Source organism: Homo sapiens, chromosome 1 (assembly GCF_000001405.40).
Source record: "Homo sapiens chromosome 1, GRCh38.p14 Primary Assembly".
NCBI lineage: Eukaryota > Metazoa > Chordata > Mammalia > Primates > Hominidae > Homo > Homo sapiens.
Genome location: NC_000001.11, coordinates 18,262,259 through 18,288,894, shown reverse-complemented (window position 1 = coordinate 18,288,894; position 26,636 = coordinate 18,262,259). Strand labels below are relative to the sequence as shown.

The window sequence follows — 26,636 nt, the reverse complement described above, 5'->3', positions numbered from 1 at the left end:
GTCAGCCAGAGGAGTAAATAACTGCTTCTGTGAAACCTGCTTCAGGCAGCTGGAGACAAGTGCTTATCTCAGCTGCAGGGTGAGGGATCTGGAGGGCAGGCCCCACTGTCCCAGCTGTCTGTGGTACACACTCCTTCCTCCCTCAGCCTCTCGGAAGGCAAAGGAAATGGGAGGCTCAGACACGCTCAGGTGGGGCCAGCGGGCTAGCAGCTATTTGCAAGGATGTTATTCTGTGGTTCCTGGTGGTTAGAGGGCCCAAGAAAGAGGCCAGGTGGGAGTTGGGGATTATTAGTACAGGCTGTGGACAGAAGGTGTGGTGGGTGTGCTGGAAGACACCTCGCCTTTAATTCTAGAAACATTTCTCCACGCCTGAGACATACAGGGGCAGTTGCAGCCTCACGGCCGAGAAGGAAATACATTTCAGACATGGTTGCAGCCCATTACGACCTTATTCACAAGAGGTACACAGTCCACAATTAGCTGAGGTTCCAGAGTCAGTAAGATGATGGCTGCAGCAGCAACAGGTAATTACCAAGTGTTATCCAATGATGTTCTGACACTTCTGAAGGAGCCAAGAATCCCCTTGGAGGGAAGGGTGATCATGGAAGGCTTCCTGGAGGAAGTAGGCCCTTTTCAGGGAGTGCTTGGTCCTAGGCTGGCTCTTTCTGTCTATGGGAGGCTTTGGAGCATGAAGCAAGGCTGATTTCCTCCATCCCCAGTTGAATGTTTGATTTCGGTTCCTAATTTTGTGCTCTGAAGAAGTCATTCCACCTCCCCTAGTCTCAGTTTCCTCATCTGTGAAATGGGGATAAGGCAACGTTCCTCCCTATGAGGATTACATGAGCCTTGTAGAGTCCCTGGTGGGTGGGAAGTGCTCACTCATGGGGTATTTTCACGAGCACTCACACCTTTCTGGACCATCTGTTTTTCTGTGTCCCTCCCCACCCTCCAGGGCTCTTTCTGTCTATGGGGCTGGAGAGCAAAGCATCTCTTGCTAAAATGCCAGAGGATGTGGAATTCAGTAAATGAAAGAAGGGAGCCCACACCCAGAGAGGGAGGCAGGTGGAAGGTGCCAGAAGGCTGGGTTGTGTCTATAAGGAGTGGGGTGCAGAGAGCAGGGACCGAGAATTTGCTAGTAGTCATCGTAGCAGCTTCAAAACAAAGTGCAGGGATGCCCTGAGTGAGTACCTGGAGGCAGGCAGGTCTCATGGGCTCTGAGAGGCTCCCATGGTGCCAGTGGGTAGGGACCACGAGGCCAGGGCCGACCGACAACCACAGAGGTGACAAGGCAGACAAGGTAAGCCAAGCCCTGTGGATGTGTGGGTTTGCCTGGCCCCAGAGCGAGAGGCACTTCTGAAATGAATGATTTCATTCACTCCATATTCAACAGACTTTTGATGAACAAACACACAGGTCCTTGAATATGAGCTACTCCTAGAACATAAGCTCTATGAGGATGGGTGGATTTTTTTTTTGTTTTGTTTGTTTGTTTGTTTGTTTGAGACAGAGTCTCGCTCTGTCACCAACCTGGAGTGTAGTGGCACGATCTCAGCTCACTGCAAGCTCCGCCTCCCAGGTTCACACCATTCTCCTGCCTCAGCCTCCCAAGTAGTTGAGACTACAGGCACCTGCCACCACGCCTAGCTAATTTTTTGTATTTTTATTTTTATTTTTATTTATTTTTATTTATTTATTTATTTTATTTTTTTTTTTTGAGACGGAGTCTCGCTCTGTCGCCCAGGCTGGAGTGCAGTGGCGCGATCTCGGCTCACTGCAAGCTCCGCCTCCCGGGTTCACGCCATTCTCCTGCCTCAGCCTCCCAAGTAGCTGGGACTACAGGTGCCCGCCACTACGCCCGGCTAATTTTTTGTATTTTTAGTAGAGACGGGGTTTCACCGTTTTAGCCGGGATGGTCTCGATCTCCTGACCTCGTGATCCGCCCGCCTCGGCCTCCCAAAGTGCTGGGATTACAGGCGTGAGCCACTGTGCCTGGCCGAAGATGGGGTCTTTATCTGTCCTGTCCATTGCTCTGTTTCCAGAATTTAGCAAATGGCACTCGCTCGATAAATATCTGCTGGATGAGTCAATGAGTGAATGAATGAGTTGAGACCTTACCATGTGCCAGGCACTGGGAATACCATGAAGAAAAGGGAAAAGGCCCTTGCTGCTCTGCGATACAGACTGGCCCCAGGACAGCCTGCTGTGCCTGGACCCTGATCTGTCTGGGACTCCCTGGTAAGAGTAGCCTGGCCCAGGCGGGACAGTGGCCTCAGACCACCTCCGATGTGAGGCTCCAAAAGGAACCAGCAGGCTTTCTCTTTCTTAAAGCTCCCAGCATTAATGATATTCTGTGCAGGAAAACATCCTAACTCTGCAAAGCGTACACCTGGACCAGACAGAAGAGGCTGTGCACGTAGTTATGCAAAAGAATCTGCATCCTAACCAGTGCCTACACAGGCTGAGTGTCCCCCAGCCCTCCCTTCCATTGTTCCTTGGAATCTCAGGACTGTAAGCTCCAAGAGCCCTGTATCCCAGAGCCTAGCACAGTGCCTGGCATACGAAGGGATGTTGAATAAGTGAACTATACCAAGAGACGTGTGTCATGATCCCCATTTGCAGACAGGAACCACGGCCAAGAAAGAGGCAAGTGAACTGCCCAAGGTCACACATGTATTATACTTGTAATAGTAAACAGCAGAGCTGACCGCTCAGCATGGATGAGTCCAAAAGAAGGGAGCAGAAGACCTACTTTGAGGTTGGGGATATGGGAAATGTGCAGAGGCTTTTGGGGTCACACAGCTCTGGAATCAGATCCCAGCTCTGCCACTCAGTTGATTGCTGGGTGAGGTTGGAGGGTTCTGTGTGCCTGTTTCCTCATCTGCAAAACGGGAAGGATCATGCCTCCCTGTAAGGCACACGTGTGAGAATTCAGTGCGTAAGAGTGAACACACAGAGAGCCCAGGGGATTGCTTGGCATGCGGTAATAATAGCATGACGGGAATAACAATAGCTGGCATACATTGGCGCCTACCCTGTGCCAGATATTGCTTGCAAACATCACCTCCTGTCATCGTAACAGAAAGTGCTCCATCATATTAGCTATTGCGTATTTTTCTTAAGTCCGAAGTAGGGAGGTTGGTCAGGGTGGGTGGACTGCAATGATGGCAGCAGACCGTAACATGGGTTCTTAAGAACAGGTGTCTCTTTTCTTCCCCATGCTGAGAGCATCTCAGCCAGGAATTCCCCCAAATGACCAGCTACACTGTGTAGAAGTTTCTGAGAGGCAGAGAGCTAGGTTCTAAGTCCCAAAGGTTGTCTCTGCACTGTTCCTCTCTCTGGGACCCAGTTTCCCTAAATGTTCCATGAGGAAACTGAGGACTCTTTGCTGCCCTGAATGCCCGCAGTGTTCTGATTCTAGAAGAGTCAGCCTAGAGACCACAGTTTCTCATGCTCCAGAGCTGCCAGACCCCACCTCTGGGCCCTGACTGCCCCCTGACCCCAACCAGCAAATCTAGGCTGCAGCCAGGCCAGGTTGCTTTTCAAGTAGAGTCATCAAAGCGTGGCCGGTGGACTTAGTCCAGCCAGCAGTGTGAGAGCCCGCTGACCGGCCTGGCTGTTTAATTTGAAAAACAAATAAGTCTCCAACTTCGGCTGCCTCACCAATGTCCCTGGGTGCTGTCATCCGAAAAAGAAAAAAAAAAAAAAGAAAAGGGGAAAATATCACCTCCCCCCACCTTCCCAACCTCCTTCTCTTTGTTTTCCACAAAACCAATTACAGGTTGGAAATAGCTGTAATAAACTTGATATCCCACTTATGGGCCAATCCCGCCACGGCTGGAAAGTGTAATAGTGGCAGAGAGTGAAAACTGCTGGTGTATTTTGCCGGCTGTTTAAATTGCCTGTCTACATTATCCCAACTCCTCTCCAGCCAGGAAGGAATTTGCTCTCCTGGAAATGGAGCAGCTGAGGTCTCTGTGTCCAGGCAGCCGAGAGAGTGTTTGCAAGGAGGGTTTTAATGAACTGATTAGATATAGAGGAGTGGATGGCACCTGGGATCTTGTGTCAGCCCAGCACAGCTTCCAATCCCAGCCCAGGCAAGAGGTGCTCCCTGGCTGTAAACAGCCTAAGGCGATACCTGCCTTTCATGGTAGTTAGGGGAAAAGGGCATTAAATTAGATAATGCAAGAGACAATGAGGGCTAGAAAGGGACTCAGTTTTACTGTGGGTGCTTCACTCCCTGGCTCTGGGTTCTCAGGCAAGTCACTGATTGTTTCTAAGCCTCAGTTTCCTCATCTGTAACGCGAGGGATATTAAACAAACTCACACCCCAGAGTTGTGAGAAATACTAAAAGAAACAAACATATGTAAAAGCATCTTGCAAAATGCAAAGGCAAGTGGACACTGCTGTTAGTGTGAATTTATTGCTCAGCTTCTAGACTGTGGGAGGTGATGAGCAAATCTAGAAACTTCTGCCATGCAACTATCAAGTGGGAGTCCTTGCCCATCTCACTTGATCCCAGGAGCCTAGCATGGGAACCGGCACGTAGTACATGCTCAATGTGCATTTGTGGAATGAACCAATGAGTCAGTGAAGGAAGGAACGGACTTCCTGTTCACTTAAGCAGATCTGCCGCCATCCCACCCACTCAGAAAGTATGCCTAGAAAGCGCCCTGCAAGGCTGGGCACAAAGATGGCACTAGACCAAGTCAACCTCAGGCTAGAGCTTGAGTCCACTGGTGCCTTTGTGAGTTTGTCTATTGCTTGAGGTCCTTTCAGGAGCTGTGCTTGGTGCTGGGAGTATGGCTGTAAACAAAGCAGATGAGGACAGTGAGAAAACTGACTCATCTCTTCTAAATTTCTGAAACGTGTGGTTTCCGACTCCTGCAGTGGAGCCTGAAGCCCAGGGTGGGACTTCATTTTGTTCAATGTTGCATCCCCGATTATAGAACGGAGTCTGGTACTTAGAAGACTCCTTTTCAACATTTTTTTTTATAGGAATGAACATCATTTTTTCTTTTGGATGCAAAACCCATGGCCAGAGAAGGGATGCCATTTGCCCTGATTCCCAGTTAGGAGGTGGTGAAATGGAGAGCTTTGAACATGGGTCTGATTCCAAAGTCCAGACAGGAAGTGGCTCAGGTAGTAGAGTTGGCTTTAGTTTCGGGCAGGGGGGCAAGAAAGGGAGTAGGTATTCTAGGGAGAGGAAAACCAGGGCAGGGGTGTTGAGGGAAGAGGTGAGGGGAATGAAGGCGGAGAGGAAGCCTGGGAGAATGATTCAGCCGCCTGGCCGCCTGCTGTGTAGGGGGAGGGGCACAGGGTTCTTCCCTTTCTTGTTGCCATAACGACCCTGGACCACTCTTCCCCTAAACCTCCCTGCCCACCTGTTCTCCACCCTGAAACCGCTCTTGCAGTTCCTAGGCCTGGGAGCTGGGCCAGAGAAGCAGCCTCAGAGAGGGTAGGGCAGGCTCTGTCCTCCCCAAGGGGGCCTGGGGGAAGAGGATACCAGATGCCCAAAGACAAGAAGAGGCAGAAAATCCTCATGTCAGGTGCCACTCACCTCTCTGGGCAGTCCCTGCTCTCCCTTGTGGGCCCCGGTTTCTGGCAGGGCTGGGCTCAAGGTAATTGGCTTCCCCTGGTGTGTGTGGGAGATCCGGTTTTGACAGAGACAGCTGGTGTCATAAATTGCCTGTCTCATCCGGTTACCGTGCGATGGCAGACAGCAGCTCAGAGATGGGCCTGGGGGCTGGGGGGAGAGTGGCAGGGAGGAGAGCGGCTGCAGCTTCTTTGTAGGACCCACACTCCACATGTGGGCAGGTGCTCCTGCAAGTGTGAGGAGGTGTGTGCCACTGGTGTGAGCTGGGACCCCATCCTGCGTGGGTGAGCCTGCTGTGAACAAGGAAGCCTGTGTTCAACGGAGTATGGGTGTGCATCTGTGCATCCGTAGGGATGACTGTACAAATAGGTGTGTTTCCAGGCTGCCTACGAGGCTGTACATGTGTGTGAAAGGCAAAGTAATAATGAGAATGTTCATGCGTAGTTTTAGATGTTAGCACAGGGAAGACCAGGAGGTCTCACAGGGAGTGTAAGAGAGTGTATGCAGGCATTTTCAGGGCTGCGTGTCAGTTTGTGGACTTACGGTGTTGTGCATGCACAATGCCTGCACCCACAGCTGTAAGTGCAATTATATACCCTGCTCCTCACTCCGGGAAAGGGTGTGTGTTTGTGTGTGTGTGTGTGTGTGTGTGTGTGTGTGTGTGTATGTAAGGGGATGAGTTTTTGGCAAATGTAAGGTTGTATCTCCCTTGCCATTTCCCATGCCCAGATAGGCACCCACCAGTCGAATACAAAGCCCACAGTCACGACCCAAACACCTGAGCCCCCCAAACTCTATCAGACACATGCATGGGAGCTCTGAGACCTCCTTCTCCACCTCCCATGCAGCACCCCGCTCCCGCTTCATGCTTTAGGGGCTAGCAGACAGGAAGCAGGGGAAATAGAAAGGGCCTCAGATAGATGCCAGACATTCGAACTTCAGTGCACAGTGGAATCACCTGGGCCAGAGTGGGGGTGGGGTTTGAAAATGTCAGTTTCCCCGGAAGCCCATCCTGGAGGTTCCAACTCAGTGACTTCTGAATGCAGTCCTTATTCTGCATTTTTAACAAGCGTCATCAGGTCATTTGGACACAGGGGTCAGGAACCACAACCGGATACACAGTCCGGAACCCCCAGGCCCACTCCTCACCAGGGTCTCTTTGCAGCTTTCCCAGGGGGCCATCAACTGCTGGACCCTTGGTGCCCTAGGAGGTCATTCAGAGCAGGAGCGCCCTTGACTGTCCCATTTAGGGCTCTCATTTTACACAAGGCAAAGCCAAGGCCCAAAGAGGGGAGGGGCATGCCCAGGGTCACAGAGGGAGGAGTCCGCAGAGCTGGGAGCCAGGCTCTTTGCTCCGAAGCACACCCTCTTTCCACCACACCCCCAAATCCAGATGCTTGGAATCCAGACCCTAAAAGCACAGGTTCACCGAGGGCTGAACAGCTGCAGCACCTGAGATACTCAGGTCCCTCCTCCAGACCAGGTGATCATGTCCAGCTCCTCGCTGCCTCCTCCCTGCCTCCCGACAAGTATGCTCTTGGAAAATCCCAGCATTAGAGACAGGGTTCAGGGTCACATGGCTTGCCCCTAAAGAGAGGGGCTCGGGGGCTCTTTCCCAGTTTAACAAATGCCCTCCCCTCTTGTGTTCTGGAAGGAGTGGGCTGAGGAGGAAGGAGGAGGGACTTATTCAGCCACCTGTGTCTCCATGACAGCCACTCTTTTTTTTTTTTTTTTTGAGACAGAGTCTCACTCTGTTGCTGAGGCTGGAGTGCAGCGGCACCATGTCAGCTCACTGCAACCTCCGTCTCCTGAGTTCAAGCAATTCTCCTGCCTCAACCTCCAGAGTAGCTGGGATTACAGGTGCCCACCACCACGACTGGCTAGTTTTTATATTTTTTTTAGTAGAGACCTCAGGGTTTCACTATGTTGGCCAGGCTGGTCTCGAACTCCTGACCTCAGGGTGATGCACCCACCTCGCCTCCCAAAGTGTTGGGATTACAGGCATGAGCCACCATGCCCGGCAGAAAGCCACTCTTCACTACACACCCTCGGTGTGCATTCCTGTAACCCCAGTGACCTCAGCTTCCCATTCTTTCACTCACCTGTTCATTCATTCATTCATTCACTCACCTGTTCATTCATTCATTCACTTGCCTGTTCATTCATTCATTCATTCATTCGTTCATTTCTTCATTCATAAACACCTCCTGCAGGCCAGGCCTGTGGACAGAGGGGTCATCAGGGAGTTCACAGAATGGGTGAGGTGGAGGTTGGGGTCAGGAGAGAAACATTAGCAGCAGGTGCTCGCTCAGCAGCAGGCTGCTGACATGGAGTGGAAATGGCACTGGCGTGCAGGCCGGGGAGCTCTGCCAGGGAGGGTCCAGGGCAGGCCCTGCCCAGAAGGGGACCCTGAGCCCTGCTTTGGAGGTTGAAGCAGAGCCTTCGGGGCAGACAGGAGGAGATCATGGGGGTCCCCAGGCATCAACAAGAAGGCAAGGCTTGGGTAGAGAGTGAGGGGGGTTCAGGACAAGTTCTGGGGGTGCTGTGTAGAAGGGCCTGGTGTGGGAGGGTCATGGCTCACACATGTGGAGTCTGGGTTTGGTAGTGGTTAGGCTCTGGAGTCAGACCTCTAGGTTCAAGTCAATTTGAGATCTCCTATCTCCCTGTCTCAGTCTCCTTACCTGTAAAATGAGGATAGCAATAGCACCACCATCTAGGGTGGAGGATGAATCGGGTTCTTCCCTATAAAGTGCTTAGAAGGTGTCTTTCACATAGTACACATGCTATAACTGAGTGCTGTTAGCTGTAAAATGCTAATAATGCATATTATTATTACTATTATTTTATTGGAGGGAAATGGAGAGCCATTGAAGGCTTCAAACAGGAGAGTGATCAGCTCCATTGGTATCAGAGAAATCCCCCTGGCTGCAGTGTGAACAGTAGAACTAGTGGCAATTGGGAAGAGGCATTGGGTTGGAGAGAAGAGACCACTTTTCCAGCCCCTCTTTCAGGGCTGCAAACTTGATTTTTGGATCCCACCAGTCAACAGGGCAGGTGTGGGGGGCGGGAGCATGGCAGAGTCCTATCTGATCCCAGTATCTGTGTACCTGTGTGTGAGGTTCTGGCCCACATCCCCTGCCTGTGACACCCCCTACAAGGTCTCCCCATGGTCATGCTCAGCACTCAGTCCCCGTGTCACCCCCCGGGCTGCCGGTCAGTGGGCACACCTGTGTAGACAGGTTGTGTCCAGCAAGGGCTCATCATGGGACAGATGCCCAGCTTGTACCAGTCTGGCTGACCAATGCAGTCAGAAGGGGCTGCCAGTCCTCGGAGAGGGCCCTTGCTGTGCCAATCTGCCTGGCCCACCCCACTTAGCAGGCGCTGTGCACAATTGGGCCTGTGTCAGCATGATCGGCCGCCGGCAGACCCGTGGCAGATCAGTGGCCTGCGCCAGCCTGCCCACCTGCTAAACGAGGGGCGGGTGCACCGGCAAACATTGCTAGGCTGGCATATCCTGTCTGCTGTAATTAACACATGGCATCAGGGCAGCCCAGCCCAGTGAAGCCTGTCTGTCCATCTGCCGGCTGTTCCTGGGAATCAGCACTTTACCACGAGCTCCAGCAGCCAGTTGGAGAGGAAGAACACTGAGCTGGGAGCTAGAAGACCTGGGCCCCATCTCTGCTCAGCCACTCACTGGTAGCGGATGCTGGGAAATTTGCATTCCCTCTCTGGGCCTTGGCTCCCCCATCTGTTAAATGGGGCCCAGGGGATGGCTGATTGCTAAGTTCTCTTCCTGCTGTTCTATGGGGGTGGCGTTAACACTAGGCAAATTCTGGGTGGCAGAATTCTACACTTGAGGGGTTACGATAGAGCATATGCAGGCCCTACTCATTGCTTCCTTCATTCCACAAAGAGTTACTGTGTCCCCACTATGTGCCAGAGATATTGCCATGAATTAGACAATGTCCCTCTTCTCCTAGAATCCACATTCTACTGTCAGGAGCCATATACCTTAAATTAAGGAAGATGGAAGAGATGTATCAGCTAGAGAGAATTGCCATGCAGACATTAACATAGGGTGATGGCTACAAGAGATGGGTGGCCAGGGGAGGGCAGCCTCAGAAGGTCACATGTAAGCTGAGATCCAAATGAGGAGGTGGGGCCCCGCTTGCTTAGAAGAATCAAGTTGCTTCCTGCCACGTCCCCATGGGCTCCTCTTTATTCACTGCTTCTCGTTTGATCCCAGGGTTGCCCGTCTGGGTAGTGCTGTCTGCATTTGACAGATGAGGCTCAGAGACAAGCCCTAGCTTAGTTCTATAGCTTCATGTTTTCTTCCCCCAACATTTGATTACGAACATTTCCCAACATGCAGGAAAGTGTAAAAATCTTTAAGGCAAACACCCATATACCCATTACCTGGCTTCCACAATTAAAATGTGAACATGGGCTGGGTGCAGTGGCTCGTGCCTGTAATCCCAGCACTTTTGGAGGCCGAGGCAGGCAGATTGCTTGAGCGAAGGAGTTTGAGATCAGCCTGGGCAACATGGTGAAACCCCATCTCTACAAAAAATATCAGAAAATTAGCCAGGCATGGTGGTATGTGCCTGTAGTCCCAGCTACTCAGGAGGCTGCAGTGGAAGGATTTCCTGAGCCCAGGAAGTTGAGGCTGTAATAAGCCAAGATCTCGCCACTGTACTCCAGCCTGGGTGACAGGACAAGACCCTGTCTCAAAACAAACAAACAAACAAACAAACAAACAAACAAACAAAAAAAACCTTACACCTGTAATCCCAGCACTTTGGGAGGCCGAGGCAGGCAGATCACTTAAGGTTAGGAGTTCGAGACCAGCCTGGTTAACATGGTGAAACCCCATCTCTACTAAAAATACAAACATTAGCCAGGTGTGTTGGGGGGGCGCCTGTAATCCCAGCTACTCAGGAGGCTGAGGCATGAGAATTGCTTGAACCTGGGAGTCAGAGGTTGCAGTGAGCTGAGATCGCGCCACTGCCCTCCAGCCTGGGCAACAGAGTGAGACTCTGTCTCAAAATAAAATAAATAAATAAATAAATAAATAAATAAATAAATAAATAAATGAATGCAGCCATGTTTGCTTTATCATATCTCCCCCCACCCTCCATTCATCCCTCTCGATGCAGCCACACAGCCTTATTTATTCGATGCCTTCCAAAGTGAGCTGCAGACACCTGTACAGTTTACTCCTAAACCTTCTATTTAGAGTTCAATATTTATTTACAATTCCTTTTCTTTTGAGGTCAAATTTACACACAATGAATTGCACAAATCTCAAGAGTACCACTCAGGGTTCTTTTTGAGTTTTGGCAAATGCGTGCACCAGTGTAAGCTGAGCCCTTCTCAGGATGCAGAACACTACCATTACTCCAGAAAATTCCCTCCGCTCCTTCCCAGCCAAACCTCACCCGAGAGATGATCGTTATTCTAATCTGTTTGTCACATTTTATCCTGTTCTAGAATTTCGTATCAACGAATTATACGGTACGTAGATTCCAGGGAAGGCTCTTTTCTCCCAGCATAATATTTTTTAGATCCACCCCTGCTGTGTGTGTACCATGGTTTATTCCTTTTAATCACTGAGTAGTATTCCATGTCAAGGAGACGCTATGTTTGTTAAGCTGTTCTTTTGTTAAAAGGCACCTGGACAGTTTCCAGTTGGGCTCTGCTATGCTTCAAGCTGCTAAGAACATTCTTGCACAAGTTTTCTTTTTTTTAAAAAAAGTCACGTTTTCATTTCTCTTGCTACTGCTTTGTTTGACAAAGGGTCAGTCCAATCCAACAAGGGTTCCCTGAGCACCTACTATGTGTCAGCCCCTGTGCTAGACACAGAGGTGAGTGAGTCTCAGCTAGGGCGGGGGAGTTTGGCCTCTGAAGGCCCCACGCAGGCACAGAGCATCAGAGTGTACAGGAGGGCCTGTCAGGACCAAGTGCTCCGTGCCTGGCACTGTATTTCATCCTTGCAACCACCCCACGGGATTCACGTTATGGCCCCAATCTTCAAAGGAGGCAACCGAGGCCAGAGTGATGGAGTGATCGGCCTGAGACAAGAGGCAGGAGCTGGGCCTCAAACTTGGGGTGACCCCAGCCTTTGTCCTGCACGATGCAGGGGTGACATCTTTTCTTTGTTCTGCACAATGCAGAAGCAACAGCCCAGGGAGGCCAGGCGATCTATTCAAGGCCACCAGGCAGTACGGTGACAAGAACACAGGCCCCTGGGTCTCTCAGTCCTGTCTCTTTCCCCAACACCATCTTGGAGACTTCAGAAAAGGTCTACACATTTGTTGAACCAGCATTTATTTCCAGAAATTGGGCTGGGAGAGATGAGTTATATAAAAGTTCTGATAATTTGTATGTATGAGTGTCCTTGTGTGTGGCCCATCTGACTGGTCCCATGCACCTGTTAGTCCAGGACCACCAAACGATGGCCCCAGGAGCCAAGGAGAGAGCCCCTGGCAGGCAGCGGGAAGGGTGGGACCAGTGTTGAGACAGGGAGTCTATGCAGGTCCAAGTCATCTAATTAAAAACAGAAACCCCAGTGTAGATCAAATTAACACAATCTGCAGGACAAATTTGGCCCCAGACAATGGCTTGTGACCCCAGCTCTCAGCAAATGAAGAAGGTGATGATAATGAGAGGAAGGAATGTGTGGTAGATGAAAGATGGCACATATTCTTTGAGATTCCTGCATTAGAGATGGCGGGGGTCGGGGGGTCTACGATCTCTCCCTTTGAAACTAGACATGTTTGGAGACTGCTTTGACCAATAGAATTGGCGGACGTGGCAGACGTGTGCCAATCTCCAAGCCCAAGCCTTAGGGGCTGGAAGCTTTCATTCAGGGCTCTGGGAACAAGTACATCCTGAGCTGCTGCTTAAGACATCCCATTGTGGTGCTAGAGAGGCCACCTGGAGAAGGAGGGGGACCTTGCTGAGCCAGCCTTCTAGCCATGCCTGCAGGTGGGTAAAGCTGCCTTGACCCCTGCAGACCAGATCAGCCGCCCACTGAATACTACCCAGTGATCCCAGCAGACACCAGGGGAAGCATTAGAATTGCTCAGCCAGAACAGTGGTCAACTTCTTGCCAAGGAGGAGCCCTGTTCAGCACCCACCTTTGCAAGAGGAAGTGTGGATGCAACTTCCATCTGTTACAAGGCTCTATTTGACTGAAGCCATTTGGGTTGGGGGAAGATGGTTGTGCCAGGCAGGGCACAGCAGGAAACAGATATTCCTTGAAAAGATCATAAATAAGAAGACCTTAATTCCAAGGTGATTTACAAAGATATGGGCACGGCGGAGAAATTCCAATAAGGCATGAGGCAACACTGGGGCAGAGACCGGTGGGGACTGTAGTCCTCTTAGGAGAAAAGGGAAGGGGGCAAAGGAGTGGGAGGTCTCCCTGAATCCAAGAGAGCAGCAGCTGAAGAAGAATTCCACCCAAAAGCTTGGGTGGAGGGACCCAGGGGCCCCACTGGGAGGAGCTGGGGAATAAAGACTTTGGCCGCATTTCCATCTGGCTTCCTGTCTCCTGCAGGTGTCTGTGCAATGGAAGGGCAGATGACACAGACTTTAGTCCAGGAATCTAAGGGGTTGGGGTTGAGCGGACACCTAGCATGGAAGGTTTCCATGAGCCCTTGTTCTCATTTTGCTGTTCCATAGTTGGGTGAGGTGAGGTTCCTTTCCCCACTGCTCCCCCATCAGATAGTTCCAGGTGAGCATGGGGAGAACAGCATCGTCAGAGAGAGGGTCCCATTAAACTGCCATGTGTCTTCTTATGGCTGCTGCATGTCTGATCACCAAGACACTCCCGGTGGGAGAGGCAGCTGGGCCCACCTCTGCTTCTCATCACAGCCAGGCTCCAAGAATGGGACGGGATTGCTGAGACGGGAAGGTCAGTTCTCCATCCCCTTGGCTTGGGGAGTAGATCCGAGGCTGGTCTTTCTGGAGGTTTGGCTTGGGGATTGGAGACGCCAAGCCCCAGCTTAGATCCCTGGGTCAAGACTGCCTCCCAGATCTACTCCCAGTGTGGTTTCCCAGGGAAGAGCATGAGCGCAACTTCTAACTCTGCCCAGAGCCTGCAAGAGCTGCACAAAGACCTGTGCCTACAAGGGCTCTGCAGTTGGTTTAAGACTCTGCTTCTGAAATTTGAAATTTGTAATCGGTTTTTAAGAAGAGGCCCCTGTTTTCATTCTGCATTGGGCCACACAATTTAGGTAGCCACTTCTTTTTTGTTTGTTTGTTTTTGTTTTTTCAGAGTCTTACTCTATCACCCAGGCTGGAGTGCAGTGGCGCGATTTCGGCTTACTACAACCTCTGTCTCCCAGGCTCAAGCGATTCTCTTGCCTCAGCCTTCCCTAGTAGCTGGGATTCCAGGTGCATGCCACCACATCCAGCTAATTTTCATATTTTTAGTAGAGATGGGGTTTCACCGTGTTGGCCAGGCAGGTCTTGAACTCCTGACCTCAAGTGATCCGCCCACCTTGGCCTACCAAAGTGCTGGGATTACAAGTGCGAGCCACCATGCCCAGTCATTAGGTGGCCAATTCTAGTTCTAAGCAAGAAAGAGATTTCTGGGCCTTTCCTTGGCCTGACTCCTTTGTTTAGATCAGTGGACAGCAAACTTTCTCTGTAAGAATATTTTAGGATTTGCAGGCTACACAGCGTCTGTCACAATTAATCAACTCTGCTCTTATAGCACAAAACAGCCCTGGACAATCCAGAAATGAATGAACATGACTGTATTCCAATAAAACTTTATTTACAAAAACAGATGGCCAGATTTGGCCAATGGGCCAGAGTTAGGCAACCCCTGGTCTAGCTTATAAGCCCCTCTTTTCCTCATCTACCTGTCTGATTCTGGCTCATTCTTTGCGACTCAGGTCAATAGCTTTTCCTAATCTCTCCAGGAAGAGTTCAGTTTCTCCTCTTCTGGCCAACCTGACCAGAACCTGTACATACTTACTTCTTGAGCCCAGGCTAAGAGGCTAGCTTTGTGATAAGGCACAAGGTCTGGAGTGTTGAGCAAGAAGGTGTGGTTATAGCCTTCATAGGCCTTTGCCATAGATACCTGATAGTACCTGGCTATAAATTGCAGAAGGGTAGGGGCTGGAACCATTTTGCCCAACACCGTGTATCTCCAGTCCTAGTATAATAATGGGGTAAAGAAACAAGTTAGCCAATACCCAAATGCTCTGCCACACACTTACAATTCTTTTCTTCTAACTGGACCATGTGAGCCCCTGACTCATCTTTGACTTGGTAGGTGTCTTTACCAGAGAGGCCGAGTGATTTCCCCCAACACATAGAGCAGCAGACTAGTGGCGAAGCTGGGATTCAAACTCCCAGGCCAGGTGCATTTCAGCCACACCCAGGAGTTAGACTTAGGCACTGGGGTCCTAATAGAGCCTGAGAGGTAGCACGGGCAGCTCCTATCTCAGGTCCCAGTGAGAGCTGTGCTCATGTTTTCCCTCCCACCTCGTCTGCAGGAGGCCTGGTTTATTTCCTTTGGGAGAGAGGAAGTTCAAGAGTCTAGTGTTGGTTTCTATTATAAGGAAACTGTTCAATAAAAAATCACCCAGTATATTAAAAAAAAAAATCTTTACCTGGCTTTGAACAAACCCTTGGTGTTATTACAGCAACAACAAAAAAACCCATTTGCTTTTCATTATAGATCTGGTTGTGTTTTGTTTTGTTGTCCCCAGAGAGCAAGGACTTTATGGGCAGAGTGGTTAAAAAAAAAAAGTAAAGAAAGACGAAAGAAAGAAAGAAAGAAAGAAAGAAAGAAAGAAAGAAAGAAAGAAAGAAAGAAAGAGAGAGAAAGAAAGAAAGTGAGAAAGAAAGAAAGGAAAGGAAAGGAAAAGAAAGGAAAGGAAAGGAAAGGAAAGGAAAGGAAAGGAAAGGAAAGGAAAGGAAAGGAAAGGAAAGGAAAGGAAAGGAAAGGAATGGTGGCTCATGCCTGTAATCCCAGTACTTTGGGAGGCCGAGGTGGGTGGATCACTTGAGGTCAGGAGTTCAAGACCAGCCTGGCCAATATGGTGAAACCCCGTCTCTACTAAAAATACAAAAATTAGCCAGGCATGGTGACATGTGCCTGTAATCCCAGCTACTGTCTGAGGCATGAGAACTGCTTGAACCTAGGAGGTGGAGGTTTCAGTGAGGTGAGAGCATGCCACTGCACTCCAGCCTGGGCAACAGAGGGGGACTCCATCTAAAAAAAAAAAAAAAAAAAAAAAAAGATCCGTCTGGCTGCTAGTGGAGAAGGGATTGGAGGGCCCAGTGGGGGCAAGGAGACCTGGCCAGTAACGGGGAAAGACACCAGCTCCCACCTGAGCATAAAGTGGACAGAGGCTGGGCCTCTTGTCCATTCCTTTTGTGGTTTTATTGTCTCCTCCCACATATCTCTGTCATCTGAGGGGTTTGAATGCATGTCAAAGGCCAAATGGGGAAAATTCTGGGGGAGGGATCTTTAAAGTTAAGTGCATCTTTGAATTAAAATGCCTCTTTTGTCCAGTGGGCAAGACTGTGAGAGGCTTGAGAGGCCCCCTCTCCACTGCCCCAGGGCAGCCAGGTCCCTGGCAAGAGCCGAGGGGACACACTCAACCTATTAAGAGATCCAGCTTCTTCCAAACCACTCATTCCAAAGCTGGAAAATGGAAGAAGGGGCTGTCGCGGTCACATGGGTGATGGATCTTCAGCATGAACATAATGATGTGGAGAGCAGCGATGACAACAGTGGAAGTGCGACCATTTCCTCAGAACTCATCTAAGGCCAGGTGCTAAGTGCCCTGTGTGCACTTGCTCACTGGATCCTCCCAACTACCTTAGGAAGCAGGGCTCTTATTCCACGCAGATGAGGAAACTGAAGCCTGGAGGGGTGAAGCGACTGGCCCAAGATCATGTAGCCAGGAAGTGGCAGAGAGGGTGATATGGCTTCGCTGTGTCCCCCCCACCCCACCCCCAATCTCATCTTGAATTGTAGCTCTCATACTTCTCACGTGTTGTGGGAGGGACCTGGTGAGAGGTAATTGAATCATGGGGGCGGTTTCCCCTATACTGTTCTAGTGTTAGTGAATAAGTCTCACGAGAGATGATGGTTTTATAAGGGGAAAACCCTTTCACTTGGTTCTCATTTCTCTCTTGTCTGCTGCCATGGAAGACTTGCCTTTCACCTTCTGCCATGATTGTGAGGCCATGATTATGAGGCTTCCCTGGCCACGTGAAACTGTGAGTCCATTAAACCTCTTTTTCTTTATAAATTACCCAGTCTTGGGTATGTCTTTATCGGCAGCATGAAAATGGACTAATACAGTGGACTTGGAACTCAGGCTATGACCATTGCCATGCTGCCCTGCCTCTCAATGACACCCTGTTGGTCCATCACGAGCCACACTCCATCCCTAGCCTCTCAAGGTGCCATCCTCCATGCCAGCTACTCACCCATGGTCTTGGGGCTTCCTACCCAAAATCTCCTTGACACCTTCCACAGCCCTGAGGGGCTGGGGCTTTGGCTGAGGCCACCCAGCTAAGAAGTGGCACAGGTGGGTTTGAGCCCAAGACTGAGTCTGGCCCATCCACCATGTTGCTCCTTCTAGAGACAGGACCAGCCACTGATGCTCCCGGTTGATCTTTCCTGCCTCCCTGGGGTGCCTAGGGGAGGGAGGGCAAGAGGAATCACAGCAACCGCACTTGTACCTTGGGTAGGCTATCAGATGGAGGAGGAAAGATTTTCAGATTTGCTGACATAGATTTTTCTGCATAGGGTGATAACTAGGCCAGGTTTGCTTGTGATTGAGAGGGTTACCAGGATGCAGGACTTTCAGACTTAAAATCTGGATAGGTTTAGACAAACCACACTGAGTTACTCATTAAAGTGGAGGCCTGGGATGTGGGGCTTTCTGTGTTAAAACTGGGAAACATCTGGGCAAGTCAAAATGAGCTGATCACCTTAATTCTACATCACCCATGAAGCAGAGGCAGCATTAATGGGTTGAAGTTATGGGATGACAGATATCATCAGTGTCAATACAGTACTTTGTCACTGTCAGAGGCACTCAGAGATGGAATGGTATGTCTACGGTGGGTGGTGAGCTCTCCATCCTCAGAGTCATGTAAGCAGCAGTGAGACAATGCTTCATAGAGAACCATGAAAACCAATCCTCTGCCCATAGCTCTGCGAGCAGCTGTCTCTCTGTGCTTGTCTGAGCTATTAGGACACCTTCTAATAATATTTCAGCTTCTCTTGGGCCTGCTGTCCAAAGTCAACGCCATCCCTGCTTTCTTCCATGCCTCAGTGGCCCACTAAGTGAAGCCTGAAAATTACTTGCACGGTCAGGTAAATATTACAGCAGTCAAAGGTGTGGCTTCAGTGGGGAGAATGATGTGTAATTTGCAGAAATGCTACCAGTGTGTCAAATCGCACATGCGGCTGGCTCGTAGGGAGGAGAGTGAGTGACAGCCTTGATGGCACCAGTTTGGGTAGTTTCCTTTTTTTTTTTGAATCTCTGATGGACACTGATGTGAAGGAGGCTGAAGAACACCCCTCCACTGGTGGGGTCTGCACGAAGGGCAGGAAGCCCATTGTCACGGAGCCCGGCTGTTTTCAGTGCAGCCAACATGGCCGCCTCCATGGCCTTGGTCAGAAATCTGGTCTCTAGTTAATGGTGGGCTCTGAGCATCCAAGAAGAGTCCTGCTGCAGATGCTCTGCACAGGGAAGGAAGCTGCATGTGTTGGACACCTCCCACCCAGGTGCCAGCTTGGTGCTCAGTGCCCTCTCCCTGCATTCTGACACCAAGGGCTCCCTCTTGCCCGAGGCTGCCCTGGAGAGGCATGAAGCAGGACCAGATGCCGAGTGTTGGCAGAACCTTGCAGGGCATGAGTCATCCAGGCCCACCCCCATCCTCTGCCCATTCACCCTCCCCAGAATATCTGGGGCTTGGGAACGAAACCATTATAAGGGATGGAGCCAAGAGAGTGGGAAGAAAATCTCAGAACTGTTCTCTCCCTTGTTTAAATTGAGGTCTTCAAAGGAGCTGTTTCCCTGCACTTTGGAGAGTGAGTGGATGGCAGGCAGGGTTGGGGTCTCTTCATTTTGCTTCCCTGCAAGACTGGTAGTTCAACCACAAGAAATGCTGTGAAGGCAGAATGGGGAGCAAAACAGCTAGTGTAGAGTCAGCCAGTGTAAGTGCAAAGATGCCACCTGGCTCTGCCTTGGGGCCCGGGGTCCTTGAGAAAGGGAGATAGCATGAGGGTGAAGGGCGGTGGTTGGTGCAGAGTCCTTAGAAGGTTACCTCCAGAAGGCACATGGCAGGAGCTGAGAGAACCGGAAGGATGCTTCTAACATACTGGAAAAGTCTCTGGGTTTTTGTTTGAGGGACACTGAGGCCCAGAGAGGGAAAAGGACTTGCCTAAGGTCACACAGTAAATTCCAGTTCCTAACTCAGTGGCTGCCCTTGCCTTCCTGGAAGACTCTGCTCTTTCTCAAGGGGCCCTGCGGGGAAAGAAAGGTCCGAGATCACCATTGGAGAGCAAGAAAGGGCTCACCTTGCTGCTGGAGGGATGAGGGAGATGCGCTTCAGACTGGGGGTATCTAGCACCCACCCACTAGGAGCTGCTGGTCCGGTGCACATGTATACTTACTGGTCTTGAGGAATCATCAGACTGATGGTGGAGACACAGCTCTGACTCTTATGGAGCTCCCAGACACAGCTCTGCAGCAGGAGGTGCAGACTCTGGACTTTAGAGAACTTCTGGGCCAAGAAGAGACCTTCTGTTCAGTCTCACTTCTTGGCTGAGGGGAGCCCACAGTAAGCTTTTCCTTGTAAACGTATCATTTATTCAAAGATGCTGATCCTCCTCCTCCTCCTCCAACAAGTCCTCCCCAAACACTTGCATCCATGCCAATGACACAGGATCAAGGCTGTCTGGATCCTTCTGCATCCACTGAGAAAGGACAGTCACCCTAAAGTCTCAGGCAAATGCCCAAATGGCCCCTCAGGGCATCACACTTGTCCAAGACCTGCCCCAGGTGGATCACCCCAAGTCTCATCGGCATCAGCAGCCACCCTCACCTGCAGATGCTATGGGATCCCATCAGAGTCTGCAGCCACCCCAATCCCCAGTGACCCTCTGTTTGCAAAGCTGCTGCAGCCTCACTTCCTCCTTCAATAGCAGCTCCTCCTGCGCCCCATGTGATGCGGTTGTTTACAGCTCATTTGCTCCTGGATTAAGAGGTTTGGACGAGGAGCTGAGGACATCAAGAACAATCGACCAGCTCAGGAAAGAGATTGCCCTGAATTGTTACAGGCACAGGATTTACTATACAACATACCTGGGAGCTATCATCAAGAGTGAGGTGGGCCTGTCCTATATGTGTTTCAACTTGTAGAATCTGCCAAGGACAGGGATGAGGGATTCCTGCTTTTGGTGTCACATGTGGGACATAAGACTGCCTTCCATCCGGATAAGCCTGTGGGACAGCTCTCAGCCCTTTCTCCAACCCTGGAGACCTTCAGGAGGGAGACCAACTACATGCATGATTCCTCCCGCCCTTCTATCTGTTTCTGGATCTGCAGAGGAATAAATTGCCTTTTGTTTTGCAAGTTCTGACAAATAACTTCCCCCACTCCCAAGGCACATTGGTGACCACCTTAGGGCCGGAGGAGAGATGAGGCAAACCACAGCTGCAGGTTTCACCGCGCACCTGAGTTGGGGTTGGGTGTCTTTCCAGACATATCACATGTAAGCTTGGTGACCTGTCTTTGGGACCCATCTCGGCTTCAGCTTCACTTCTTGGGACCCAGGAGTCCCTGACACCCCCAGCCACAGCCCAAAAGCACTTACAGCAGCTGGGAATCTTTTGCCAAATGCCAAAGGAGAAAATCTCCTAGCTGATGGTGCAGGCTACCTTGTGGTAAGAAGCTGTTGAGGAGCATTTCAGCATGTCCAGCAGAAAGAGCCCTGCCCTGTGGGTCAGTAGTCCTGTGTCCCAGAGCTGGCTCTGCTACTAACTGGCTGGAGGACTAATGCTGCTCACTTGGACTTCCCAAAGTTCTGTTTTCCCATCTGTAAAATGATCAGTCGAAGTAGATTAAAACAAAGGGGTTGGGTAATATTGCTCCGTGTGGTTGAAAACATGATTTGTAGAGAGGCCAAGTCGTTCATTCCTGCATTCTGCATGCATTGATTAAGCACCTGTTATGTGCCAGGCACAGTTCTGGGCACTGGGGACACAGCAGCAAATAAAACAGACGAAGATCCCTGTCCTAGTGGTGTTCTCGTTCTAGATAGAGCAAGGATTGGCAAACATTTTCTGTAAAGAGCTAGACAGTAACTATTTTAAGCTTTATGGGCCAAATGTTCTGGGTCACAACTACTCAGTCTGTTATTGCAGACAATACATGAGTGAATGAGCATGGCTGTGTTCAAACAGAATCTTATTTATGAAAGAGGTGGTGGCCCAGAGTTGGCCTGCAGGCTGCAGTTCCTTCTCTCCTAGAGGCCTGTTCTAGAAGACACAGGCTGCAGAATGAGCTCCTCCAACTCTGACGGTGGACCCAGGCATGGTCCAAGGAAAGCAGCCTCCACCTAGGGCCCGTGATCTGAGAGCTCAGTGTCTGGGAAAGTCCCAGGTCCAGCCGCAGAGCTACCCTCTTCTCCCGCTTCCTCCATGCTCCCCTTTTTCCAAGCTTCTCAAAGTGGCCTGAGGCCTTTCTCCAAACCTCTTTCCACTCTCCCTCTGAGCCTAGAAATGTCTTTTTCCATAGTGGCTGCTGTGGAGTGAGGGAGGCAGAGGAAATCTAGGATGTTACCAGAGGGTGGGCCCAAGTGGGAGGCCAGGGCAGGGTAGAGAAGAGTCTCCATCAAAGGCCAAGGAACTGGAAAATGAGCTCCCCACATCCTGTTTTCCTGAGCACCCTGATGCTCACCTTCTAATCCTTGTCCAGCTGAGAGCTGCTTCTGCTTCCTTAACTGTAGCTGAACCTCACCACCTCCAAAACGCCCACACAAATTGACTCTCCTGAATAAGTTCTTCCCGTATCTCCCCAAATCAGCTGGTCCTCAGTGTACAATGACATTTATTTTCTGCTTATATCAGTGTCCTGCCTCACCTATTAGACAACCCATTCCCATTAGAGTGAGGTCAATGCTTACCCTGTCCTACTGGGAGCTCTCTGAGCCTGAGTTACATACATACAGCTCTCCACAGCCAGGGGCCATGGGCTCTCCAAGGGCAGAGACTGAGTCTCCTCCATCATGCTGGCCTCTCCTGGAGGTCAAATATTGTCTCCCTTATTAGTCCTGGAAGTTCCTGAAAGCAGAGAGCTTTCATTGACCCCATTTGCTGGGTCTCCCTTTCAGTTTGATTGGGAGCTCACAGAGGTGGAATCCAGGGTCATGAGACTCTCAGGTGGTCCCTCTTGTCTCCCTGCAGGACATAGGTGCACACTGTGGCTGTGAAGGCCCCTGTGTCACGTAGTGAATTGCAAAAGGGTTCCCATTTTCACGACTTCTTGGGTCCACACTCAGCGTTTCTCACTAAAAAGGCAGCATCTATTTCTCTGCTCCTTGGACCTGGGCTGGCCATGTGATATGCTCTGGCCAACAGGGAGGTGACAATGCATGAGTGACAGTGCATGGCCTCTGGAGGCCTAGCAAGTTTCCACATAAGTTCTTGGGCCACTGCCATGAGTACATGCTGGGCCAGCCCACTGGAGGATGGGAGACACATGGGACAGAGTTGGTCACTCCTGTTGTCCCAGTGAGGACAGCCTGGGTCAGTCAAAGGTCAGATGCTCTCAGACATATGAGTGTGCACAGCTACCTAGCTCATCCACCTGAATGTGTGAGAAAAAAGTGCCTATTGTTGTACACCACTGAGGCTCTGTGTCCAAGTGTTACACAGCATGTTCATGGTAATAGATCACAGATACACATATGGTCAAGAATTTGGGCTCTTGAATCCAACTGCCTGTGATCAGCTCCTGGCTCTACCATATACTGGCTGTGTGGCCTGGAACAAGTTACCTAGCCTCTCTGACCCTCTCTCCTTTTCTATAAAATGAGAATAATAATGGTAGCCACCTCCTAGGGTCTTGTGAAGATTAAATGAGATAGTTCATGTAAGGTACTCAATGCAGAGCCTGACACATGGAAAGTGATCAATCAATATTATTCATAATAATATTGCTATTCCAGAGCCTGCAGGGTAAATTTCTGGGGCATTCCCACCTCATCTGCACGTTCTGATAGCAAAGAACCCCTTGCCCCTGTCTCCGGGCTTCATCAAGGCTGCATTAAATCCCTAAAAGCCTCTCCCTCAGTGGGCACCTCCAAGCTCTTAATCTCTATGGCTCAGGAGGAAAACCTGCTGGAGAAAATGCCAGTGGAAGGCCCAGGCGCTGGGACAGAGCCCATTGGCTGCACCTTGCCCGCTCCTCAGCCTGCGAGCTTAAGGAAGGAGCGGGCTTGCCTAGGAAATGCATTCTTTCTGTTTTGAGATCCCGGTTGTGTGGCTCTGGTGCCAAAAATCGGAGTGAAGAGCAGAGAATTCAGCCAGCAGTGCCACATGGGGGAAGGCAAGCATGTGGAGGTCAGGCAGGGAGGACGCTGTCCCTTCCAGTGGCCTGATGGGCACAGGAGTTGGCCTGGAAACCGGACTGGTGTAGGGGCAGGTGGGCAGCGTGATAGGATGGAGACTAAGCACTCCAAGAAAGGGGCTCCCCAAGGATGCAGGTGTACCCAAGTGGGTGGGTTTGAGCTGGATTTATGTACAGGGGCAAGTGAGGAGGCCGCTGCATGAACAACAATTTTCCCAGAATGGAAGCTTGCAGGAGGAACACCCAGAGGACACCCAGAGGTGAGAATTTTTGCCTGACATTAACACTAGTTCCACAACCACCATCCCGAACCCTTGGAGCCAGATGTGTCCCAGAGCTCAGGCTGAACCCTACTTCTGAAAGGTGATATGGGGCTTGTTCAATATATCACACAACACAACTGGGGTCCAAAGAATCACTGTGTAATCACTCAACATTAATATTTCTGCAGTGACGCATTTGGATGGTGATACTAAGTGAGAAAAACAAATACCATAAATATCCTCCCATCGACCCAGGCTGGGTTTTGCCACCAAGTCATTTCAAGTCAGTTCAGGTCAGGTTCAGTTTTCTCATCCAATGAATTACAAAAAATAGAACAAAATAAAATAAATCTTTCATTTATCAGAGCTTTTTGGATTTCTGGTTTGCAGGGAAGGGGTTGCAGGCTTGTGAAAAGAGCCGGGATTGTGACATCATGCTCACGACCACTGTAATAGCTGCTATTTGTGGGATGGCACGGTGTGGTGGCCCTGAGCCTAAGCTGGCTTGAATATTCACCATGGCCCTGCAAAGCAGGCCCTGTCTTCTTCATTTGGTAGAGAAGGGGAAGGGTAGGGTTGTCAAGGTAACGGGAGCCATCTAAGTCACCACAACTGATAAGAGGAGACAGAGCATAGAGGAGGTAAATTGTCCTCAGAGAATCATCTGGAACAAAGTTCCTAGAAGAACAGAGGTTTAGGTCAAATTCAATGATTCCTTCAGCTACATTTGCACCAACCGGTCTGGGGGCAGACATAGCTCCTGTATGTTCTGTAGGTATGTTAAGGAAATAACAAGGCCTTAAGAACTCTAACCCCTTTGCCTAGGGGCTATCTGTCCTCATGCCCTCCTGTAATGAGATTCTAGCATAATAATCCCTGCTCTGGGCTCCCTCCGTCCATGTGTTCTCTCCCCCATTTCACTGCTGGAAAAACTAAGGCTCAGTGTGCAATGACTTGTCTGAAGGCACAGACTATCTTGTTGAGACCAGAATCATGGTATTCAAATGTCATTAATAATGACAATAAACATGAGTTGGGCACTTACTCTATGCCAGGAGTTGTTCTATATGCCTCAGATATATTATCTCATTTAATTTAAGGGTTGGGGGCCGGGCAGAAAGCAAGCATGCTAAAAGTGGTTCATAAATGCATGGCTTCTTGCTGCCGGTCTTAACGGGATTCTTGTGAAATAAGAAATGATGAGAGAGGGGGAAATAGGGCCATCCCCTCATACAGAAGGAGGGGACTGCAGACTCCTGGGAATTTAAGATAATGAGCAAGGAAAACAATCACTTTATTTAAATGAGTTGAAGAACTATTTGGCTTCTCTCTGTAAGAGGAAGCAGTTAAGGGGTTTTATTTTATTTTTGGCCCTAATAATATTACAGTCTCCAGGCTGGTTATTATCTGTCACTTTCCAGGGAAGATTGAAAAGAAAATAGTTTTATCCCAGGCAATTGTAAACTGTTCCTTTTGATGAGTTGTTGCTTCCACTTAGATATTAAATGCACCAGCATCAGGTGACCTGGCCCAGCTGGGTGGCTTTGTTTAACTGACTACAGAAGAGAAAGAAGACGAGAAAATTTTCTTGTTTTTTAGACAGGACTTCTCAAAATGCAATACGTGTGAGAGTCAGGGGGGATGAGCATGCAGTGGAAGAAGAAAATTCCTGGGTTTTACAGGAAGAGTGTCTGACTCTGCAGGGCCCCAGTGGGACTGGGAATCCGCACTTTTCGCAACCGCTCTGGGTGATGCTGCCAGAGAAGGTTGCTCTGGGTTCTCCCTAAACCTGCTTGGCTGGAGAAGTGTTTGGTTCTGAGAGACCTCCCCAAAATTAAGATCCAGAAGCTGTCAGCAAAAAGGACCCCAGAGATAACTGAATAGATTCACATCGCAAATAAAAACCGGAGTCCCAAGATCCTACAGCGAGTGAGAGGCAAAAATGAACCTGAAACTCAGATGTGCATTCGCCTGGTTCAAAACTGGACCCGTTACACTGCAATGGTGCTGAGCAGGTGCCTAGTAGAGGTGGGGGTGGGGCTGGAGGACCCCCACACTCTTTCTTCCCTTTGCTCAGGCTCACCTCATTGTTGTTTCACAAGCAGTGATGCAAGTAGGTTGAGAAAGCCAAATGGCTCCCAGGCAGTAAGAGTCCTTCCCGAAACTGGCTCTGAGTAGCATCCTACATCCAAATCCCCAGTGCTATTATAAACTAGAAAAACTCAGTGTGATATGGTTAACCCTCTGAGTTGTTGTTCTTTTATTTCCCCAAGTGGCCCTCCGTATTTTCCACCATTGACCTCTCCTCTTTTCTGCACGACCTCCCACCACCTGAAATTCTTGATTTTGTCTTGCAGGTGCCAATTGCCCCATCCTGCGGATGTCCAGAATGCTTCCTTTTATGCCATCCCCCACATACTCAAGGGAGGGAGGGAAAAGAATGGGCTGGGAGCTACCCCGGGGTGGGGAAGGGGAAGCGGCCAATGCATTCCATTCCCACGGCATTCAGTGTGCAGTTGCAGTTGCCAACCACCCCTGGAAATGCAGACTTGCCTCACCAGCCCCTTGGAAAACATGCCAGGTCGCAGGCAGCCCCTTGAGGCCAGGTCTCTAGTAAAGCTTGCCTCTGGATGGCTGCAGATGGAAAGGACTTGGTTCTTAGCACCCAGGAAGAATCTCTCTCAATTGATTATTTACTTATTAAGGCAACGAGGATCCAAGCAGACATGGATTCATGCAGGGCTTGTGCCAGCCTGCAGCCTCCAGCTCTCTCCAGGAACCAGACCTCTCTCATCCCGCTTCTGGAACAGCGCTGCTACAGATGCAATAAACATTTACGGTGCATCTACTATGTGCCAGACACTCGCACCAGATTAATCTCATTACATCTCCATAATGACACCGATGTTGGAATTATTATCCCCATTTTTTCAATGAGGAAACTGAGGCTTGGGGAGATTATAGACTTTACCTAAATCCCACAAATTATAGAAGACAGGGCCAGGATTCAAAGCCGGACCCTCTGAGCTTGCAGCAGATGCCACAGTGTTCATCCCATCCGTCCTCACGTGTCCACTTGCTGCCATCCACTGCACTCTCTGCCTCAGGTTCTTTATCCGGTCGCCAGAACCTCCAGAGTTCATGCCCCCAGAAGCAG

The 26,636-nt window shown here is 50.1% G+C and overlaps 1 protein-coding gene and 1 long non-coding RNA gene across 5 annotated transcripts in view, besides 8 other annotated features; one reads left to right on the top strand and one right to left on the bottom strand.

Moving 5' to 3' along the window:
• Window positions 1–26,636, bottom strand: part of IGSF21 (immunoglobin superfamily member 21) — a 270,686-nt gene that overhangs the window by 89,589 nt on the left and 154,461 nt on the right. The window contains exon 1 of one of the 4 annotated variants that reach the window (XM_017002605.1): window positions 10,011–10,039. The exons of the other annotated variants lie outside the window; for them this stretch is intronic. The gene's annotated coding sequence lies outside the window, so the exon portion shown is untranslated. Of the gene's footprint in view, window positions 1–10,010; window positions 10,040–26,636 lie in introns of those variants that run through there. 4 annotated transcript variants of the gene reach the window in all.
• Window positions 4,605–5,804: an enhancer, noted in NCBI's record as "MED14-independent group 3 enhancer chr1:18609585-18610784 (GRCh37/hg19 assembly coordinates)". NCBI's record gives its function as "activates an origin of replication core promoter dependent on BRD2, BRD4, P300/CBP and CDK7 cofactors, and independent of MED14, by STARR-seq in HCT116 cells {active_cell/tissue: HCT116}" and the evidence as "EXISTENCE:reporter gene assay evidence [ECO:0000049][PMID:35650434]".
• Window positions 4,605–6,159: a biological region, named in NCBI's record as "MED14-independent group 3 enhancer GRCh37_chr1:18609585-18610784".
• Window positions 4,713–4,913: a silencer, noted in NCBI's record as "peak94 fragment used in MPRA reporter construct". NCBI's record gives its function as "represses an SCP1 promoter by STARR-seq MPRAs in K562 erythroleukemia cells {active_cell/tissue: K562}" and the evidence as "EXISTENCE:reporter gene assay evidence [ECO:0000049][PMID:32103011]".
• Window positions 4,866–5,512: an enhancer, noted in NCBI's record as "H3K4me1 hESC enhancer chr1:18609877-18610523 (GRCh37/hg19 assembly coordinates)". NCBI's record gives its function as "activates a minimal SCP1, AML or CMV promoter by ChIP-STARR-seq in primed H9 embryonic stem cells {active_cell/tissue: H9 hESC(primed)}" and the evidence as "EXISTENCE:reporter gene assay evidence [ECO:0000049][PMID:30033119]".
• Window positions 5,513–6,159: an enhancer, noted in NCBI's record as "H3K4me1 hESC enhancer chr1:18609230-18609876 (GRCh37/hg19 assembly coordinates)". NCBI's record gives its function as "activates a minimal SCP1, AML or CMV promoter by ChIP-STARR-seq in primed H9 embryonic stem cells {active_cell/tissue: H9 hESC(primed)}" and the evidence as "EXISTENCE:reporter gene assay evidence [ECO:0000049][PMID:30033119]".
• Window positions 5,805–5,924: an enhancer, noted in NCBI's record as "active region_281". NCBI's record gives its function as "activates an Ori minimal core promoter by ATAC-STARR-seq in GM12878 lymphoblastoid cells {active_cell/tissue: GM12878}" and the evidence as "EXISTENCE:reporter gene assay evidence [ECO:0000049][PMID:35858748]".
• Window positions 7,494–8,007: an enhancer, noted in NCBI's record as "H3K4me1 hESC enhancer chr1:18607382-18607895 (GRCh37/hg19 assembly coordinates)". NCBI's record gives its function as "activates a minimal SCP1, AML or CMV promoter by ChIP-STARR-seq in naive H9 embryonic stem cells {active_cell/tissue: H9 hESC(naive)}" and the evidence as "EXISTENCE:reporter gene assay evidence [ECO:0000049][PMID:30033119]".
• Window positions 8,008–8,522: an enhancer, noted in NCBI's record as "H3K4me1 hESC enhancer chr1:18606867-18607381 (GRCh37/hg19 assembly coordinates)". NCBI's record gives its function as "activates a minimal SCP1, AML or CMV promoter by ChIP-STARR-seq in naive H9 embryonic stem cells {active_cell/tissue: H9 hESC(naive)}" and the evidence as "EXISTENCE:reporter gene assay evidence [ECO:0000049][PMID:30033119]".
• Window positions 25,425–26,328, top strand: LOC124903864 (uncharacterized). The gene is made up of 2 exons (XR_007065517.1): window positions 25,425–25,494; window positions 25,837–26,328. It is a non-coding gene; the product is annotated as an uncharacterized LOC124903864 (long non-coding RNA).